This window comes from Homo sapiens, chromosome 3, assembly GCF_000001405.40.
Source record: "Homo sapiens chromosome 3, GRCh38.p14 Primary Assembly".
NCBI classification, from domain to species: Eukaryota; Metazoa; Chordata; class Mammalia; order Primates; family Hominidae; genus Homo; species Homo sapiens.
In genome coordinates, this window is record NC_000003.12 from 114,171,320 (window position 1) to 114,189,892 (window position 18,573).

Genomic DNA, 18,573 nt, shown 5'->3' on the forward strand with positions numbered 1-18,573 from the left:
TCACATCCCTCCTGCACACCCTCACCCTCATATACATTAAACACTGGTGAAGAGGTCTTCTGGACTGCTTCACCCAGCCCACCATGTCATTGAGACATGTCTGGCACAGAGAATAAACTCTAGGCCATATTAGGAAGAGTCCCGTCACTCAAATCCAGTCACCTGAACACTGGAGACCCATGAACAGAATCATTCTCAGCTCCTTGGTTCTGATGTGGATGAGGGACAGGATGGTGACTGTTTTCCAGAGCTTTAACTCTCTCATTACAGGGAGAATGAGAGCTCTCCTTCCTTCCTCAGTTCCTGACTGTCTGGGGAGTCTTTTGAGCCCCAAAGGCCAGAACTCAGGGAAGACAAGTACTAGCACAGTCATAGAGACAACATGCACCTGAAGTCTACTCACCTCCAGGTATACCACCCAGGGCATCACCAAGGTGGCCACCAGCAAGTCTGCCACAGCCAGGCTCACTACTAAGTAGTTGGTGGTAGTCTGCAGGGCCCGCTCCTTCAGCACAGCCATGCACACCAGGCCATTGCCGAAGACGATGGCCAGGATGAGCGCGCAGTAGGAGAGGGCATAGTAGGCATGTGGGCGGGCCTGGCTGGCACCTGTGGAGTTCTCTGCCCCACAGGTGTAGTTCAGGTGGCCACTCAGCTGGCTCAGAGATGCCATAGCCCAGAGGGAGGTGCGTGATGCCAAGGGGCTTCCTGTGAGGAGACAGAAAACAATATTAATAAAATCAGACTCTTTGGGGCTTGGTTGCTTAGTTACATTTTTTTATTTATTGCATCAGCAAATATTTATTGAGCATTTTCTATATAGTAGGCACTGTTGTGAGAGTTGGAGATAGAGCAATGAACAAAACAGATAAAATCTTAATTCCTTCCCTTTGAAGCTCCCATTCTAGAGGAGAAGACAGATAATAAACAAGATAAATAAAAGATGTGGTGTGTTCAATAATGATACGTATATTGGAGACAAATCAGAGAGGCAGGTAAGTAACGGGTGAAGATTGTGCGTATGTGAGTGAGTATCTGAGTATAATCAGGAACTCCTCATGGAGAAATCAGCAATTGAGTCTTGACCTGGAGGAGATCAGGAAGCAGACCATGCAGTTATCAGATGTGATAGCAGTCTGAGCAGTGAGAACAACACGGGCCAGCAGGAAGGGCTAGCACATAGAAGTCATAGGAGGGAGTCTGGTGAGGCTGGAGCCAAGTGAGGCAGGAGTAGAATAGGAGGGTGTGAGGTAGACAGATTGTGCAGGGCTATTGAAAGTACCATGCTTGGACTCTGAGTGAGATGGGAAGCTGTTGCAGGATTACAATCCCAGCTCTGCTGCTTCCTAACTCTGGGACCTTATGCATATTACTTTACCTCTCTGAGCTCCAGATTCTTCCCATGTAAAATGTGGGAATAATGAAACCCATCTATCTTAGTCCATTTTGGGTTGCTATAACAGAACACCTGAGTCTGGGTAATTTATAAAGAGCAGAAATTTGTTGTCTCACAGTTCTGAAGGCTAGGGGAAGACATAAGGCCTGTGACTTAGGGAGTAACCCTGAAACCCAAGCAAAAGTGACTCTTGCCCCAAGCTCTAGAGGAGGTGCTATAGAGGAGTCCACTCTGGTCTTCTGCTGTGGTCTCGGTGTTTGTGTCTCCCTAAATTCATATGTAGAAATCCTAATTCCCAATATGATGGTATTAGGAGGTGGGGGTCTTTGAGAGGTGATTAGGTTATGAGGACAGAGCCCTCATGAATAAGATTAGTGCTTTTATAAAAGAGACCCAGAGAGCTAGCTAATCTCTTTCACCATGGGAAGACATAGTGAAAAGACAGCCATCTATGAACCAGAAAGCAGGCCCTCACCAGACACTGAATCTTCTGGTGCCTTGATCTTGGACTTCCCAGCCTTCAGAACTGTCAAAAATAGATATCTGTTGTTTATAAACTACTCAGTTTATGGTATTTTGTGATAGCAGCCCAAAAGGACTAAGGCACCCTCTACTGGTTATGCCTCTAACCTCTATAGAATGATGTTGTAACCTCCCACAGTGCCAAGGAGAAGGTCCACTAAGTTTACAACCCTGTCTAGACCACACTCAGGGAATTCTCTACCCAACTGCTCAGAGCCTGTTTCCAAGACATCACGGGTCTCATTCTAAATCTCTCACTCTGACGGGAGACTGTGCCATAAATGTGTAGGGTTCCTGGGGCCAAGTGGTGGCTTTCAGTTAGAGCTCAGACAAATAGATTCTATGTAGCCTGAGGTTGGGAGAGAAGAGGCCAGGGTCCCTGAAGCAGATTAGGGGTGGGGGCCCAGCTTCTCCTGTATGATCACATTTTGTATGGAATTTTGAAAGGTCCAGGAATCTTAAATTCAAACTTGGCCTTCCATGTTGTTACGAAGGTGTATTTGTCAAGGTGGGAGGATGAAACATTTTACTCAATGGCTTGTTGGTTACAACTTTAAAATATTTAAGCATGGTACATATAGACCTTTATGGGAACTCTCTCTTCAGGCCTTGGCAAAAGTAGAGGCTGACTTGGTGGCCAGAATTTGCCCTCAAGCCAGGTATCTGTAGCTCTCCCTTGATTAGGAGACCGGCCTAATCATGGCTGTCATTTTGTACCTCACTTTGAAATGTTTCAGCCTGAAATATGAAAGAGTTAAAATGAACAAATACTTGGGAAAGGGTGACAAACTTGGAATGAATTTAGAGAATTGTTTAAAAAAATTGTCCTTTATCTTGGCACACTGTTTGCACTCAATGTATTTTAAAACATAATAATAATTCTTGATAATAATTATAATTTTCTCATTATTCAGAGGAGGGCAGCCGCTACCCTGGAGATAGCACCGCTGCTGCCAAGAGCTTTTGGAAAAATACAATGCTTTCTGATTGTTCAAGGATATTCCCACTTTTAAGGCAGGCTGAGGCCCAAATGTCTTCCCTTTCACAACTGGGCCACTTTGGAACACAGTGGCCAGAATCCCTCTTTTCTGGGGTCTGCAACTGGTGAATAATGTCTTAGCCTCCTCTCACCTGCCACGTAAGAGGGAGGCATAAAACCTTAGGATACTTGTTACTCTTTTGCTGGACTTTTTACTCTGCCAAGAGGTTTGACAGCTACCTAAAAATAGTATAGCTGAATGCCAGTGGCTAATTATACGAAGGGAAACCCTCAACTCTGAAAATCAATTCTGAGCCTGATGTTGGAATCACAGTTGCATGGATTTCTGATTTCATATTTATTTTTTCCACATCTGATCTTAGATCCTTTATAGCAGCAGGTGGGTTAAACCGTGATTGTTCAGGTAGTTTCTGATGAGTTGTGGATGTGGGAGATGAAAGCAAAGATGAGTGAGATGCTAGATTACTCTCTATCCCTCAGCTAATTGTTTCAACTTCCTCCCTGCTTAGATTTTTTTTTTTTTTTTCAAACCAGAGTTGCTTATATAACACAGAACTGAGCTGGGCTTTCTTCTTTCTTTTCCCCTCTGTTAGATATGCTAACAGATAGGAAACGGGTCTCAGGTAAGAAGAAGCAAAGAGCCTAGAGAATTCATTAACTCAATCACTCTCTAAGTAATTTACAATGATAGGCTGGTTTCCTCATCAGCAAAATGGAGATAATCATATCCATTCCATAAGGTTATTATGAAGACTAAATGAGATTATATACATGAAGTTTGGCACTACTGACAATTTGGGCTGAATAATTCTTTGTTGAGGAGGTTGTCCTGTGCATTGTGGGGGGTTTAACAGCATCCTTTACATATACCCACTAGATGCCAGTAGCATACCCCTCCCCACAAGTTGGGACAATAAAAAATGCTTCTAGACATTGCCACATATCCTGGAGCGGGGGTGCAAATTGCTCTCCCCATGAAGAATCATCACTCTAGCATAATGTCTGGCACATAGCACTAGAAATATAGTTGCTTTTATTGTTAAGAGGAAAGTGGGAATAGGTGAAGAGTTAAATAAGCTGCAATTGTAAAGTATCTAGTGAACTTGGAAATGATGACTGACATTCATGGTGGCATTCATGCTTAAACATTCATGAAGACATTCTTAATGTCATCATGTCAACATTCATGATGACATGCTTAAACATTCAGGACGATATTCATGATGGCATTCATGCTTACAAAATCTAAGCAGGGAGGAAGTTGAAACAATTAGCTGAGAGACAGAGAGTAATCTAGCATCTCACTCATTTTTGCTTTCATCTCCCACATCCACAACTCATCAGAAACTACCTGAACAATCACGGTTTAACCCACCTTCTGCTATAAAGGATCTAAGATCAGATGTGGAAAAAATAAATATGAAATCAGAAATCCATGCAACTGTGATTCCAACATCAGGCTCAGAATTGATTTTCAGAGTTGAGGGTTTCCCTTTGTATAATTAGCCACTGGCATTCAGCTATACTATTTTTAGGTAGCTGTCAAACCTCTTGGCAGAGGAAAAAGTCCAGCAAACAGTGTTAGGAGTTAAAAGTGGATAGGAGGTAAAAGAATAGAGAAGGCAGAGAAATAGAAGATTACTCTTGGCGTCAGTCTTTTAAGATTCATTACATATAACACTACTTACACATTTTAATGAGCTTTTAAATGCCTTACAAAGTATTGATTTATCTTGGTCTTTATAGTTTGTTCTGGCATCTCTTAGAGTGAGTGCATAACCTATTTAAAAAGGCAGGGGAACAGAGAGTTGTCAGGTCCCCATCAGTTATGACATTTGTCCTGCTTTGCTGATGTTCAATCCCTCAGTGCTGAATAACAGTCTTCCTGAAACATTCGTGGGGTTCCTCCTTAGCACCTCATTAAGACTTACAGAGTTTTAATTATTTGTTCTCTTTCTGTAAGAAAACAAATGAAGATGAAGACAACTACATCTGGGCTACTACTGTGTGGCAAGTATGAGTACTTTACATGCATTTTAATACTTATAGCAGCATGGAAGTTGACGTTAGTCATTCCCAGCCCTGCTTGGGGGCTCATTCCTGTAATCCCAGCACTTTGGGAGGCTGAGATGGAAGGATCACTTGAGGCCAGGAGTTTGAGATCAGCCTGGGCAACATAGTGAGACTCCATCTTTGCAAAAATAAAAGAAAAGAAAAATTAGCTGCGTGTGATGCCATGTGCCTGTATTCCCAGCTACTCGAAAGACTGAGGCAGGAAGATTGCTTGAGTCCAGGAGTTAGAGGCTGCAGTGAACTATAATTGTGCCACTGCACTCCAGCCTGGGTGACAGAGCAAGATCCTGTCTCAAAGTAAAAAAAAACCCACAAAACTGTCATTCCCGAGTTGAGATGGATTTTACTCAACCCAGAACAAAACGCTTCAGTAACAGGGTTCCATGACCACATCTTCACTCATTTCACAGATCTCTGGCTGTTGCTACATCTAATCTTTTACTCAGACGACTCCTGACCACCAGTCGCCAGAGCTTTTCTGGTCTGGGCTGTAATTCGGACTTGCTATATTGCCTGATAAAATTAATAATTATAGCTAAAATTTATAAGCATTATCATCATTCAACCTCACAACAACCTGATGAAGAAGGTAAGCACTATTATCCTATCAAGTTTTCTAGATAAAAAAGGTGAGTCACAGAGAGGTTAAATATCTTGCTGAGATCACAAACCAGTAAATGATGGAGTTGATTCAACCCAAGATTTGTCTGATTCCAGAGCTCATGTTCTTAACTATGCCACTTAACTATGCCACTTTTTGGGGTGAGGCAGACAAATGTGAAATGGGTACTAATTTTACAATCTCACTTGTTCAGAGTATGTGAACATGTCACATCATCTGACTAGGCTTGGTGAAGTAATGCAGGTGCACACTGCTCATAGAGCCAGTGGGAGTTACATTGTTATTATTATTAGAGATAGTCTTTAGCATTTCTATGCTACTTTCTTCTTGCAAATTGCTGCCTATTTTCCTGAAAAAGATTCACAAATGGATTGCAATACATAGCATATTTATGTATTTGGGCACATTTACATTGTTGGTAAATGTACAGAGAAAAACTATTGCTGGTTACTGAGTAGCTAAGATAACAGTTTTTTCCCCTCATTAAACCTGACTAGTAAAGCAGAGCATACTCACTTTCCTTCACAACCTCTAGAGACTGAGCATCCTACCATTCTAATCAGAGATAAAATGGGGAACTCAGCAAATAAATCAATCAATAAGCAAATATTAATTGATGACAAACTTCAATGCATTAGAAATTGAATCTGATATTGAGTAGAAACTGTTCGGTATTTGCTTTAATGTATATTCCATAACAAATAGCCTTCTGTATGGATGCTTTAATATTAGGCACCCATTTGGATACTGTCAGTATTTTCCTTGCTCAATACCCTTGCTCACTGCTAGCCATACAGACCCTTGAAAATATTCAACTACAAATAAATGAGTGCCGAGTAAGAATCTTTCTCACATTGTCTCTACTTCTCCTTGACTATAAGACATCCTAATGCCATGTCAAGCAGTGGTTCTTCACTCTTATCTAAGGACAGATATTTTACAGACCTTTTAGTATCAGTAAGCAAAGGCTTCACCTATAAAGTGAAATAGTCATGCACAATGAGTTTAGAATCCAAGTTTCACTTTGCTATTGCTGCATTATTATTCATGCATGTATTTTGATGGTATTCAATTAAACTAAATGCATGAACTGGAACAAATACCTAATTGCAATGACTTCTGTTGCCCCAGTAAGCTACAGCAAGTAATGGAAGTCTCACAATTAAATAACAATACCCTAAAAATCATATACCATCATCAAAGGAAACATACACAATCATCATCTCAAGTACTACATATCTCTGCTGGGAATAATTGGATTCTGACTTAGAAACAGCCTGACTTTAAATAGACCATTGAAAATAGTGCCTCTCCAAACCTTCAGCTCTGAATTGCCAGGGTGCTGAATTGAGGAGTTTAAAATAACAGACCCTTACAATTAAGTAAAATCCTTAAGAGGAATACAATCAACTTCCATACAAATCCTAGAAATAATAACAGCTTTTTGTTTTCTATCTTTTAATTCTTCCTTGATATAGCTTCTAGAGCCCACAAGGATACAATTTTGGGGGAAAAAATAAAAGAAAAAGGAATATAAAAGGTTTCTGCTGTCCAACCACTTAGAAGAAAAAGAAAACCATTTCCTCAGGGCTTTGGTTTTTAAATAAGAGTGGATATTGAGTTTTAATGCATATTTTTAGAGATCCACAGAACCCCAAGCTGATTAAATAACCTTGAGGAAAATACTATGTCCTAAATTAGAAACGAAAAGAAAAATTACTTACCCTAAAATTTTCTTCTGATTTCTGGAGACCGAGGAGTTTACCACTTCGGCTCCTGCAGCCATTTACTGACAGCAGACATACCCAAGCAAAGCAAACTTTGCCTTTCTCAGGACTCAGAAACTATGAAATGAACAGAAAGAAATCACCCATTTTTGCCTCTAAGGTGAAATTACTTGAGTGCTGCTTTTCCAGCTTCCCTATTAGACCTTAGTGCATGTTTCATAGCTGCTTTCGAATGTATCCGTTTTCTTTAGAGGATTTGGGAGGGACCCTAAACTGAGCGTTGCTTGGGTCAGCCGCTCAGAGGTTCTGTCCTTGGTGCTGAAAGAGGGATGGAGTAGGCATAGGCAGTATCCGTTTTCTACCTCGCTCTCTTTTCCTCTTTGTCTCTCTATCTGCTCGGATACTGTGCTTTTTAGTACATGTATATTTTCTCCTCAGTGCTCTTTTTAATCTTAGTTTTTCCACTGTTTTTACCTTTATGCTTTAATTTCTCTTGAATAACTCTCACCTTCCTCAGTTTAATTGCCTTTCCAGATTTTGGTGGGTGTAAAGATGATTAGTTCAGAAGGAACAGATCATCAAATTGATACCACAATTGGTTAATGGAAATCAGTACAATTTAAAACACAATTGACAGGATAATTGAACTTGGAGGTGTAAGCCTGTCTGGGAAAAGAAGGTTAAAGGAAACATATTACAAAGGTAGCAAAACTGAGGCATGGCGTATAACTGGCAATAAGGATGAAATAAGCTTAATACTGTAAGAAATGTTAAATGTTTACTTAGCAGCACTTCTTGTTTTCAGAGGACTTCATAAATATTTGCCAATTCATTCTTACTGCTTCTCTGTGATATATACATAGATACCTTTTTTAAAACTGGTTTGGAACAAGCTAAAGTGAGATGCAACCAAGGACAATATCAGTGAAAGTCAGCAGTAGAACATAAACAATCCTAACTTATGGTCACCTGTTCATCTTACATTTTACTGTGGCATCCTAACCATTTCCTGTTCTCTCTCTCTTTTTTTTCTCCTCTGTTTGGTCAGTGTGGTAATTCTTCGGCTGTTTTCTCTGCCAACAGTGGATGTGCTTGGCAACTGCGGTGCAGTTATAGGGAAGCTAGCTCTTGTTTGACTATGATGGAGACCTCTGCTGGCTGAGAAAGAAGGCAGCAGCATCAACAAGGTCTAAATACTGCTATTGATAACAACCATCATTTATTGAGCATGTACTTTTAGCCAGTCATTTTAATGCATTGCTCCTTTTAATCCTTTCAACAACCCTACAAGGCAGGTACTATTTTTTACCATCCTTAATTTATGGATAGGAAAATTAAAGCTTATGGAGGTTAGTATAATGTCTGAAAGTCACACAGCTAACAAGTGGCTGACCCAAGATTTGGATCTAAACAACCTAATTCTCTTAACCACTATGGTATAGTCTTCCAAAAGAAGAAAATTTAAACTTCCCAAAAGACTGATAATATGTCAGAGAGAATAATAATTATGACAGTAATAATAATATTAATAATACATTTGTATATAATTATATTTAGAAATCATTTAGATGATTTAGAAATCATTCTGTAAATTATATTACATCAGTCTTCATGATGCCATCTTTATAGAGGCTGTTATGGACTAAATTGTGTCATTCCAAAATTCAAGTGTTGAAGCCCTAACCTTAGAACATGACTGTATTTGGATGTAAGATCTTTGAAGTGTGAGTTAAGTTAAAATGGGGCCTGGAGGGTACGCCCTAATCCAATATGACTGGTTTCCTATAAGAAAAAGAAGAGGCACCAGAAATGTGCACACAGAGGAAAGGACACAGGAAGATGGCATCTGTCTGCAAGCCAAGGAGAGGGGTCTTGCAGGAGAAACCAAACCTGCCACCCTGTTGATTTTGGATTTCTACCCTTCAAAACTGTGCAAAAATAAATTTCTCTTGTTTAATTCACCTAGCCTGTGGAATTTTGTTATGGCATCCCTAGCAAACTAATACAGAGGGTTAGAGAGGTTAGGTTCCATATCCAAGGTTGCCCATAACTTATTGGGCATAAATGTATTAGTTATATGACATAACTATATTGAACATGCCCTAAGACTAGAACTCCTGGGTTGAATGTGAACTCCAAGGCTTTTCTTCCCTTGGATAAGGGGACCAAGAGAATATGCACTGCTAAAACTTGGCTTGTCTGACATATAAAAGCAGGGAGTAATGTCAGGCTGTTATGTGAGCAGAATGAAGCAAAGGCCTTCTAAGGAGTTAAGAACCTCATATCACTCATTTTCAGCAACATGGTTTTCACGTTTCAGTATCCTATGTTTATTTTCTTTAACATTTGAAGACATTGTGCCTAATGATAATGCTATCTTGATAATGCGTGAATGTAGTAGGAAGAACCCTATTTCTAACTTTCTGTGTTGAGAACACATATTCTCTCTTCAAGGGCAGTTGTAAATGCTGGCAAGATATTCCTCAGCATGTTTTTAGTGCCTTCCTTTGGCAAAAGTAAAAGGAAGATAAAGAGTGATATAGACTCTAATTCTGTGTAGGAACAAGAGACAGGAAAATTAACTGACATGCCTAAAATCACACATCTAGGCAGTCAACTCTGTTCTGACTTAGCTGTCTCTGGTAGACTCCTTGACCCCCGTGGTGAATGGGGAGGGATTGGTGTGGAAATAGAAGAGAAGCAGGGTAAATGAAGTGATCCTTTCTCTCTGGACTTCACTATAGGTGAAGATTAGCAATTGCTCCTTTTATCTGGCACTTCCCATTCATACAACAACAAACAATTTTATTCTTTTAAGTAAGTGGAACCCTTATTCATGATTGGCATTGAGATATGCCTTCTGGGAAGAACTCCAAGATGCCTACAGAAGAGATATGCCTGGGCAGAAATCAAGAAAAATATAGATCATTTTTTTCATCTTCCTTCCAGAAACTCCATCTCAATAGCATGGCTGGAACATTCTCATGTACTAGCCAATGGCCCTTCATCAGGGAAAGTCTTTATGTTTTCAACTTGAAGTGGCAAGTCTAGAGCAAGAGAAGAGAGATGGTGGGCTTCTGATACATATGGTTACTCAGTGATTTTGTTTGAAAGGAAATTGATGTGAAGTTTGTGGTGGGACTATTCTCTTCTTGTCTTTGAAATGCTGTTCCAGGGAATGATACAAGAAACCTTGCCTTGAGCACCGACCATTGAGTACACCACTTTAAACCCCCACTGAGTTCCCACTCACTAGGACAGTATGGAGACTAAATGAAGCATTATGGGGAGGCAATTTGCAGGACCTATATGAATAAAGGAACATTTTGTTTCCATGTCTTATTATAACTGGCATTCCTTACTGTGAACTGGAAGATTTGATTATCATGATGATCTTAAACTGCATGATACTGATCTGGTCTGAACAAGAGCCTCTCAGTATGTTTTTCACTGGAATCAGACCTCAAGTTGTAAAAGTGTAAATGAAAGTTGGCAAATGCAGTGAGTGGTCCAGTAGTATGGTTATTTCTTCTCAACCTTAGCCCCTGTTCCTCTCCAATGAGATCTGGTGATAGATGAGAACCATCTGAGAAAGTGTTAGGTTTTATGTTTGAATTCATTCTGCTGCTGTAATACAGTTCTTGAAAGAAAAATAGTTCAACTCACTTATTATTATCTAATATTGAGCACCACTTTCTTCCTTTCTACAAGAGAATGGCAGGAAATAACAGAAGGAGGCTTCTCAATCAATCAGATTTGTACCAAATCACTCATTATAGGTAGCAGAGTAATAGTAAGGAAGGAAATAAATAAATGATAGTGGTTTTTTATATCTGCATCTACCCTTCTGTGTGCTTGCATGTTACCTCCCTTTTCTACTTCTATCTTAACTTTTCGACCTATTTTCTTCCTGTTTTTTACTACCCTCCATCATCATCTAATTTTTTCTTTTTTTCTTTTTCTGTTTTTTGAGACAGAGTCTCCGTCTGTCACCCAGGCTGCAGTGCAGTGGTGCAATCTCGGCTCCCTGCAACCTCAGCCTACCAGGTTTAAGCGATTCTCTAAGTACCTCATATAAGTGGAATCCTACTATATTTGTCTTTTTCAGACTGGCTTATTTCACTTAGCATAATGTTCTCAAAATTCATTGATATTGAAGTATATGTCAGAATTTTCTTTCTTTTCAAGGCTGAATAATATTCAATTGTACCACATTTTGCTTTTCTGTTCATCTATGGATGACACTTAAATTACTTTCACATTTTAGCTATTGTGCATGACACTGCTATGAACATAGGTGTTCAGATATCTTTTTGAGATCCTGTTTTCAGCTCTTTTAGATATATATCCAGAAATGGAATTGCTGGTTCATGTGGTAATTCTGTTTCTAATTTTTTGAGGTACTACCATACTGTTTTCCACAGCAGCTGTATCATTTTACATTCCCATCAATAGTGCATGAGTGTTCCAATATCTTCACATCCTCAAGAGCATTATGCCTCCATTGTAATTTATTCTTTGATCCACTGATTCTTTAAAAGTGTGTTGTTTAATTTCTACAAATATGTGAGTTTTCCAGTTTTACTCTGTTATTGATTTCTAATTTCCTCCCATTATGATCAGGGAAGACTTTGTATGACATTTGTCTTTTAAAATCTATTGAGACACAATTTGTGGCCTAACATATGGCCCATCCTGGAAAATGTCCCATGTGTACTTGAAAAGAATGTGCATATCATTGTTGTTGGGTAGAGTGTTCTGTATATGTCTTTTAGGTCTAGTGGGTTTATTGTGTTGTTTATATCCTCTATTTTCTTACTTATTTTCTGTCTGGTGGTTCTATCTGTGATTGAAGGTGGAATGTTAAAGTTTCCAACTATTAATGTAGAATTGTATATTTTTCTCTTTAATTCTACCAGTTTTTGCTTCATGTATTTTGATCGTCTGTTATGAGGCATGTTAATGTTTAAAATTGCTCTATTTTCTTGTTGTATTAAATATTTTATTAATATATAATACCCTTTTTTATTTCATAATTTTTTGACTTAAATTCATTTTTGTCTGATATTTGTCTAGCCATTCCTGCTCTCTTTTGGTTACTATTTGCATGAATATCCTTTTCCATCTTTTCACTTTCAACCTATTGTATCTTTGTTTTCTTTTTCTCTTTTTTATTATTTTTGTGTGTGTCTTTGGATCTAAAGTTAGTTTCTTGTAGACAGTATATCCAGCAATCATGTGTTTTTTATCCATTCTGCTGATCTCTGTTTTTTGATTGGGTAGTTTAATCCATTTACATTTAAAGAAATTACTGATAAAGAAGGACTTACTTCTGTTGTTTGCTATTTGTTTTCTATATGCCTTATAGCTTTCCCACATCTCACTCTGCATGACTCTTTTTTGTGTGTGTTTAGTTGATGTTTTGTGGTGAAATGTTTAATCTCCTTTCTTATTTCCTTTTGTTTATATTCCTTAACTATTTCTTTTTGGTTGCAGTGGAGATTACATTTAACATCCTAAAGTTATAATACTCTAACTGGAGTTTATACCAGTCTAACTTCAATAACATAAAATATCTGGTCCTCTACTATTCTTTCTTCACTCTTTTTGGTTGTTAATGTCATAAAATTATACCTTTATATATTGTGTAACACCAAACATAAACTAATAATTATTTTAAATGCGTTAGTCTCTTAAATTATATAAAAAACAAAACATGGAGCCACAAACCAAAGTTACAATAATGTTAGCTTTTAGACTAATGATTGTTTTCTTTTAAATGTATTAGTCTCTTAAATTATGTAGATAGCAAAATACTACTAGCTTTTATAAAGGTCCTTGCATTTATTGAGCTCTTTGTTTCTTCATACAGCTTCAAGTTACTGTCTAATGTCCTTTCATTTCACCTTGTAGGACTCCCTTGAATATTTCTTGCAGGGAAAGTCTAGTGGTAATGTGGTAATGCTCCTCAGCTTTTGTTTATCTGGCAATGTCTTATGTTCTCCTTCTTTTCCTGCTTCAGTCCCCCAAGTAGCTGGGACTACAGGTGCATGTCACCATATCTGGCTAATTTTTTGCATTTTTAGTAAAGACAGGGTATTGCCATGTTGGCCAGGCTGGTCTCGAACTCCTGAATTCAAGTGATCTGCCCACCCTGGCCTCCCAAAATGTTGGGATTATATGTGTGAGTCACTGCAACTGACCTCCTTCACTTTTGAAGGACAATTGTTCTGATATAAAATTCTTGGTTGACAGGTATTTTTTTCTTTTAGCATTTTGAATACGTTGTCCCACTACCTGATGGGCCAAAGTTTCTCATGAGAAATTTGTTAATATTCTTACCAAAGAGCCCTTGCATATGATGAATCAGTTCTTTTTTTGCGCTTTCATAATTCACTGTCCTTATATTTCAGAAGTTTGATTATAGTGAGTCTTGGTGTGGGTTCATCTTGAAGTTCATTGTGCTTCTTGGATGTTTATGTCTTTCATCAGATTTAGAAACTTTTCTGCCATTATTTCTTCAAATATTCTCCTTACCCTTTATCTAGCCCTTCTCTTTCTGGTGCTGTCACAGTGTGTTAGTTGGTTCACTTGATGGTGTCTCCTATGTCTTTTAGGCTCTGTTCACTTTTCTTCAATCGTTTTTCTTTTTGTTCCTCAGACTGATAATTTTCATTGTATCTGCAAGTTTGCTGATTTCTTTCTTGCCTGCTTAAATCTGCCTTTAAATCTGTCTAGTGAAGTTTAAAATTTTAGTTATTATATTTTCAGCTTCAGAATATCTTTTTGGTTTCTTTTTAGTGTTTCTATCTCTTCGCTAATATTTCCATTTTATTCATAGGTTGTTTTCTTGACTTTTCCCACATCTTCTTTTAGTTCTTTGAGACTTTAAGTTAGGTGTTTTAAAGTCTTTGTCTAGTAGATCTGCCACTGAGACTCTTTCAGGAATAGTTTTGGTTGATTAATTAAAAAAAAAATTGAATGTGCCATACTTTTCTGTTTCTTCATGTGCCTTGTAATTTTATTTTTTTTTTAAGAGATGGGCTTGGTCTGTCACCCAGGCTAGTGTGCAGTGGCATGATCATAGCTCACTGTAACCTCAAACTCCTGGGCTCAAGCAATCTTCCTCCCTCAGCCTCCTGGGTAGCTAGGACTACAGGCTACCATGCCTGGAAAATGTTATTTTATTTATTTATTTATAGAAGTGGAGTCTCACAATGTTGCCCAGGCTGGTGTCTTGTAATTTTTTGTTGAAAAACAGACATTTGAAGTTAATAATGTGGTAACTCTGTAAATCAGATTCTCCCTCTTCTCCAGGGCTTGCATATTTTTTTGTTAGTGTTTTGTTTACTACTTTAAAAAAATGTTAAGTGCTGTTTCTGTGTCAAGGATCAGCCTGACGTGCAAATTTAAGGTTTCTTTTCTAAATCTGCACCTTTCCCTAGGTAAGTGCAGTCACTTTCTAATTTTCCCTGTATATGCATTGTTTTTTAATGTCCTAGTCTTTAATGTCTGACTTCCAAAAGGTGGAAATAGAAAAATAAAGGTAGATTTTTAAAAAATGGAAGCGATTCTCCTGCCTCAGCTTCCCAATCTCAGCTGGGATTACAGGCATGTGCCACCATGCCCGGTTAATTTTGTATTTTTAGTAGAGACAGGGTTTCTCCATGTTGGTGAGGCTGGTCTTGAACTCCCGACCTCAGGTGATCTGCCCACCTTGGCCTCCCAAAGTGTTGGGATTACAGGCATGAGCCACTGCACCTGGCTCTAAATCTTCTTGAAGTTACTACAGCCAGACAGGGAGGGGCTTATAACAGTGGGGGAGGTGCAACAACCGTGGTAGCATACTCCTTTGTCTGAATCTCTGTGATCAGAAGGAGCAATCAATTATCAGACCATAGTTCCCCTCTATTTGGAGGACAAGGTTCTTTTTGCCCACTCTGGCTCCTGCAAGCTGCTCCCAGAATTCAGACATAGCTGTATGCCACATTGCTGGAAGTGGAGAATGAGTAATTGCTATTATGCTAAGAGCTGACATGACCAAAATAAACTTAATTTACCATTCAAGGCTTCTCCTGGAAGTTGCAAGCTTTCAATAGATTCCAGAGTTCCAAAATAATTACATCAGGCAGACTCTGCCAGTGCAATTGTGTCTAGCTGGGGAAACAGATTCCTGGTGCTTCCTACTCCACCATATTTCTGAAATCATCCCCTTTTTTCCATTGGCTTTTAGTGCTCCCCCTGGAAATCAGAGAACTGTGTGTATAGAAGATGGAAGATGAGAGAGATATGGAAGTGTTATTATGATGGAAGTAGAAATGTCTGAGAAAGTGAAGATCTAGAGGCTCAAAAGTTGCCTGGAGACTCTAGACTGGGTGAGACATGTTTCAACTGTTTTATTCTAGGCATTTAGGGACATGTATCATGGGGAATAAGATGGAGGAGTAGTAGAGGCACTTTAACTTTTTCATAGTTGACAACATTCCATCAAAGAACAGGTCATGTGTTTTCTTTCTTTTCTTTTTTTGCAAATGTCTAAAAAATGTTCTCTAAGATTAGAAATAAACGATCATTATTTTTGTCGTAAGTTGGGGTTTGTGTGTTCACACACTGTGCTTCTCTTGGTTAAGTGCCTTTATAATGGTTTGATCTCTGCCCTAGAGCACAAAGGAGCAGCTTTATCTTCATATCTTGTTTTTCAAGATACTCAGCATGTATAAAGTATATCTGCAATCCATTTTCTGTGGGTTACACTGTCTAATCTTCAAAAGTTCAGTTCTCCCCAGCAGACAGGACTTGTAGGACTTTGTATGTTAATGAGAATAATCTTGAATTCAATGAAGCTTTTGTTGCTTCCACAACTCCTTTGCAATCTTGTCATTGATGTTCAGATATCCTACTGCACTGCCATGATTGAAATGTGGTCATTCCCAGAGTAAAGCAAAATGACAGCCTATTACAAAGTAGTTGGTTTGAAAAGGGACAAATATTACTATCCAAGAAGGGCATTTGGTATCACTAGAACTCTTGGGAGTTCAAAAACTCAGCTTTATTGGAATGGCTTCACTATCCCTGGAAATGTCCATTTTCTCCTCTTGTCTATCTTATTTTCCCTATGTCTCTCTCAAATTGGCTCAAACTGTTACTTATGTTTTAAAAATGCCATATAAAAGTGCTGATGTTCATAAGGTTCTAGTCATATTAGGGTACTTAATAGAACCATAGCAGGTAACTCAGGCAAATGGATTGTGCCTCATATTCATTATGACCAAACTCGTGAAATGAGACACTAGATAATTCAACACAATCATGCTCCTTGTGCCCTAGGAAGAGAAAAAGAGAAGCAAATACCTGAGCATCTCCCCTCTCCATATAGGTATCCAAGTGCACTTGGAGAATCAAGTTTATTATTTCGGCTGGGGCTTTGGCAAATAACAGAAAACCCCTTCTCAATTGAATGAAATGATAAAGAGTTTATTATCTCACATAAAAAATCCAGAGGCAGATGGCTTCACACGAATTCATTAGGGATCAACATTTCTTTTTTTCCCTTTTTTTTTTTTTTTTTTTTTGAGATGGAGTCTCTCTCTGTCACCCATGCTAGAGTGCAATGGTGAGATCTCAGTTCACTGCAACCTCCGCCTCAAGTTCAAGTGATTCTTGTGCCTCAGCCCCTCAAGTGGCTGGGACTACGGGCGTGTGCCACAACACCCAGCTAATTTTTGTATTTTTAGTAGAGATGGGGTTTCACCATGTTGCCCAGGCTGGCCTTGAACTCCTGACCTCAAGTAATCCGCCCGCCTGGGCCTCCTAAAGTGCTGGGATTACAGGCGTGAGCCACCACACCCAGCCCCATTTCAACACTTCTGCTTTTATAGATCTTATCCTGGGGCTGACTTGCCTCATGTTCACAATATGGCTGCACCAGCTACACGTATTCATATTCTCAGTGCAACATCCAGAGGTGGAGAATGAGACTTGTTTTTAACATTAAGGGAGTTCTTTCCCAGAAGTCCCTTGGCAAGTTCTCTTTACGTTTCATTTGCCAGATTTACATCACATGTCCATACTTGAATCAATTAGCAGCAAAGGAAATAGGAGCACTGCTGCTGACAGATTTATTAGGACATTCCTGAGTCATAAAGGAAAAGAGGGGACACCTGAATAAAATGTGGAATTTTTGCTAGCAAGGAAGACTGTAGGAAGTGACAAATGGCTACACTTAAGATTAAAATGAACCCTAAGTAATGTTGTCAAAGGGAATTACCTGAAACACTCCAAAGAATAATATAGCAGCATTACAATGATTTTAAAAAGAATAACAACATAATCATGCCAGTTTCATTTTGCAAATTTTATTCTAGTCTTTGTCCACTTGTACGTATATTTTACATAGTTGAAATCTTAATTTTATAGTCTATCTTTACCATGTAAAGTAATTATAAATAATATTTGTACACATTTTATATTATGGTTATCATCTTTAATGACTAAATTCTCTTTTATTCAGTTGATTTAACATTTTAATCCAGCCTATATCGTTTGATCCTTTTACTACTATTAATATCAGTGCAATATATCTTTAAAGGGATTATTTATATTAAGCACACATCAAGAGTAAGATTATTACCAACACATTAGGAAAAGCAATGGCAAGTAGCTGAAAGATCATCAGACTTGGAGTTGAAGACTGGAGTTTTGTCTATATCCTTGCTATATACTTGTTGCATTTGCTTTGGCTGGTTTATCAGTCTTTTGAGCCTCAGTTCCCTTATTTGGAAAAGATGAAGTTGGAATAAATAAATTCTATGATCATTTCCAGCTCCAATTGTCCATGATTTTATGAATTCTAAGATCCTTTGAAAAGCTTAAGTATTTGGGCCGCAGACTAGGAAACTGACTTAATAAAGGCATAGAGATGGAAAATTGGTGGCCACATTATGCCTGTAGAAAACTTATGTTTAGCCAGCCTATTTTTATGGAAAGTGAATGCAAATACTTTTTAGATAGAGCATGCACCATTCAGTTTGGTCACAGTTTTCTCCACTCCTTGTTGTTTGACACTAGGAGGCTTCATACCTTTCTAGTACCTGTCTTGCCCCGAAGGGCTTTGAGTTTGCAACCCCTGGAAGAAGGTGACACTGTGGCAATTGAATGACTCCCCAGCCTGAACCCTTGAACCTAGCACCTAGGTTTCCATGGAAGTCTTCCTTCAAAGAATTGTTGAAAGGCA

General features: G+C 38.6%; 1 protein-coding gene across 4 annotated transcripts in view; it reads right to left on the reverse strand.

The window, feature by feature from the left end:
- The window catches only part of DRD3 (dopamine receptor D3), a 71,828-nt gene that overhangs the window by 43,740 nt on the left and 9,515 nt on the right, over window positions 1-18,573 (reverse strand). For 2 of the 4 annotated variants that reach the window (NM_033663.6, NM_000796.6), the window contains exons 1-2: window positions 7,338-7,733; window positions 404-708 (exon numbers count right to left, since the gene is read on the reverse strand). In NM_033663.6, coding sequence (NP_387512.3) covers window positions 404-673 — 270 coding nt within the window. In that variant the 5' untranslated portion in view covers window positions 674-708; window positions 7,338-7,733. 4 annotated transcript variants of the gene reach the window in all.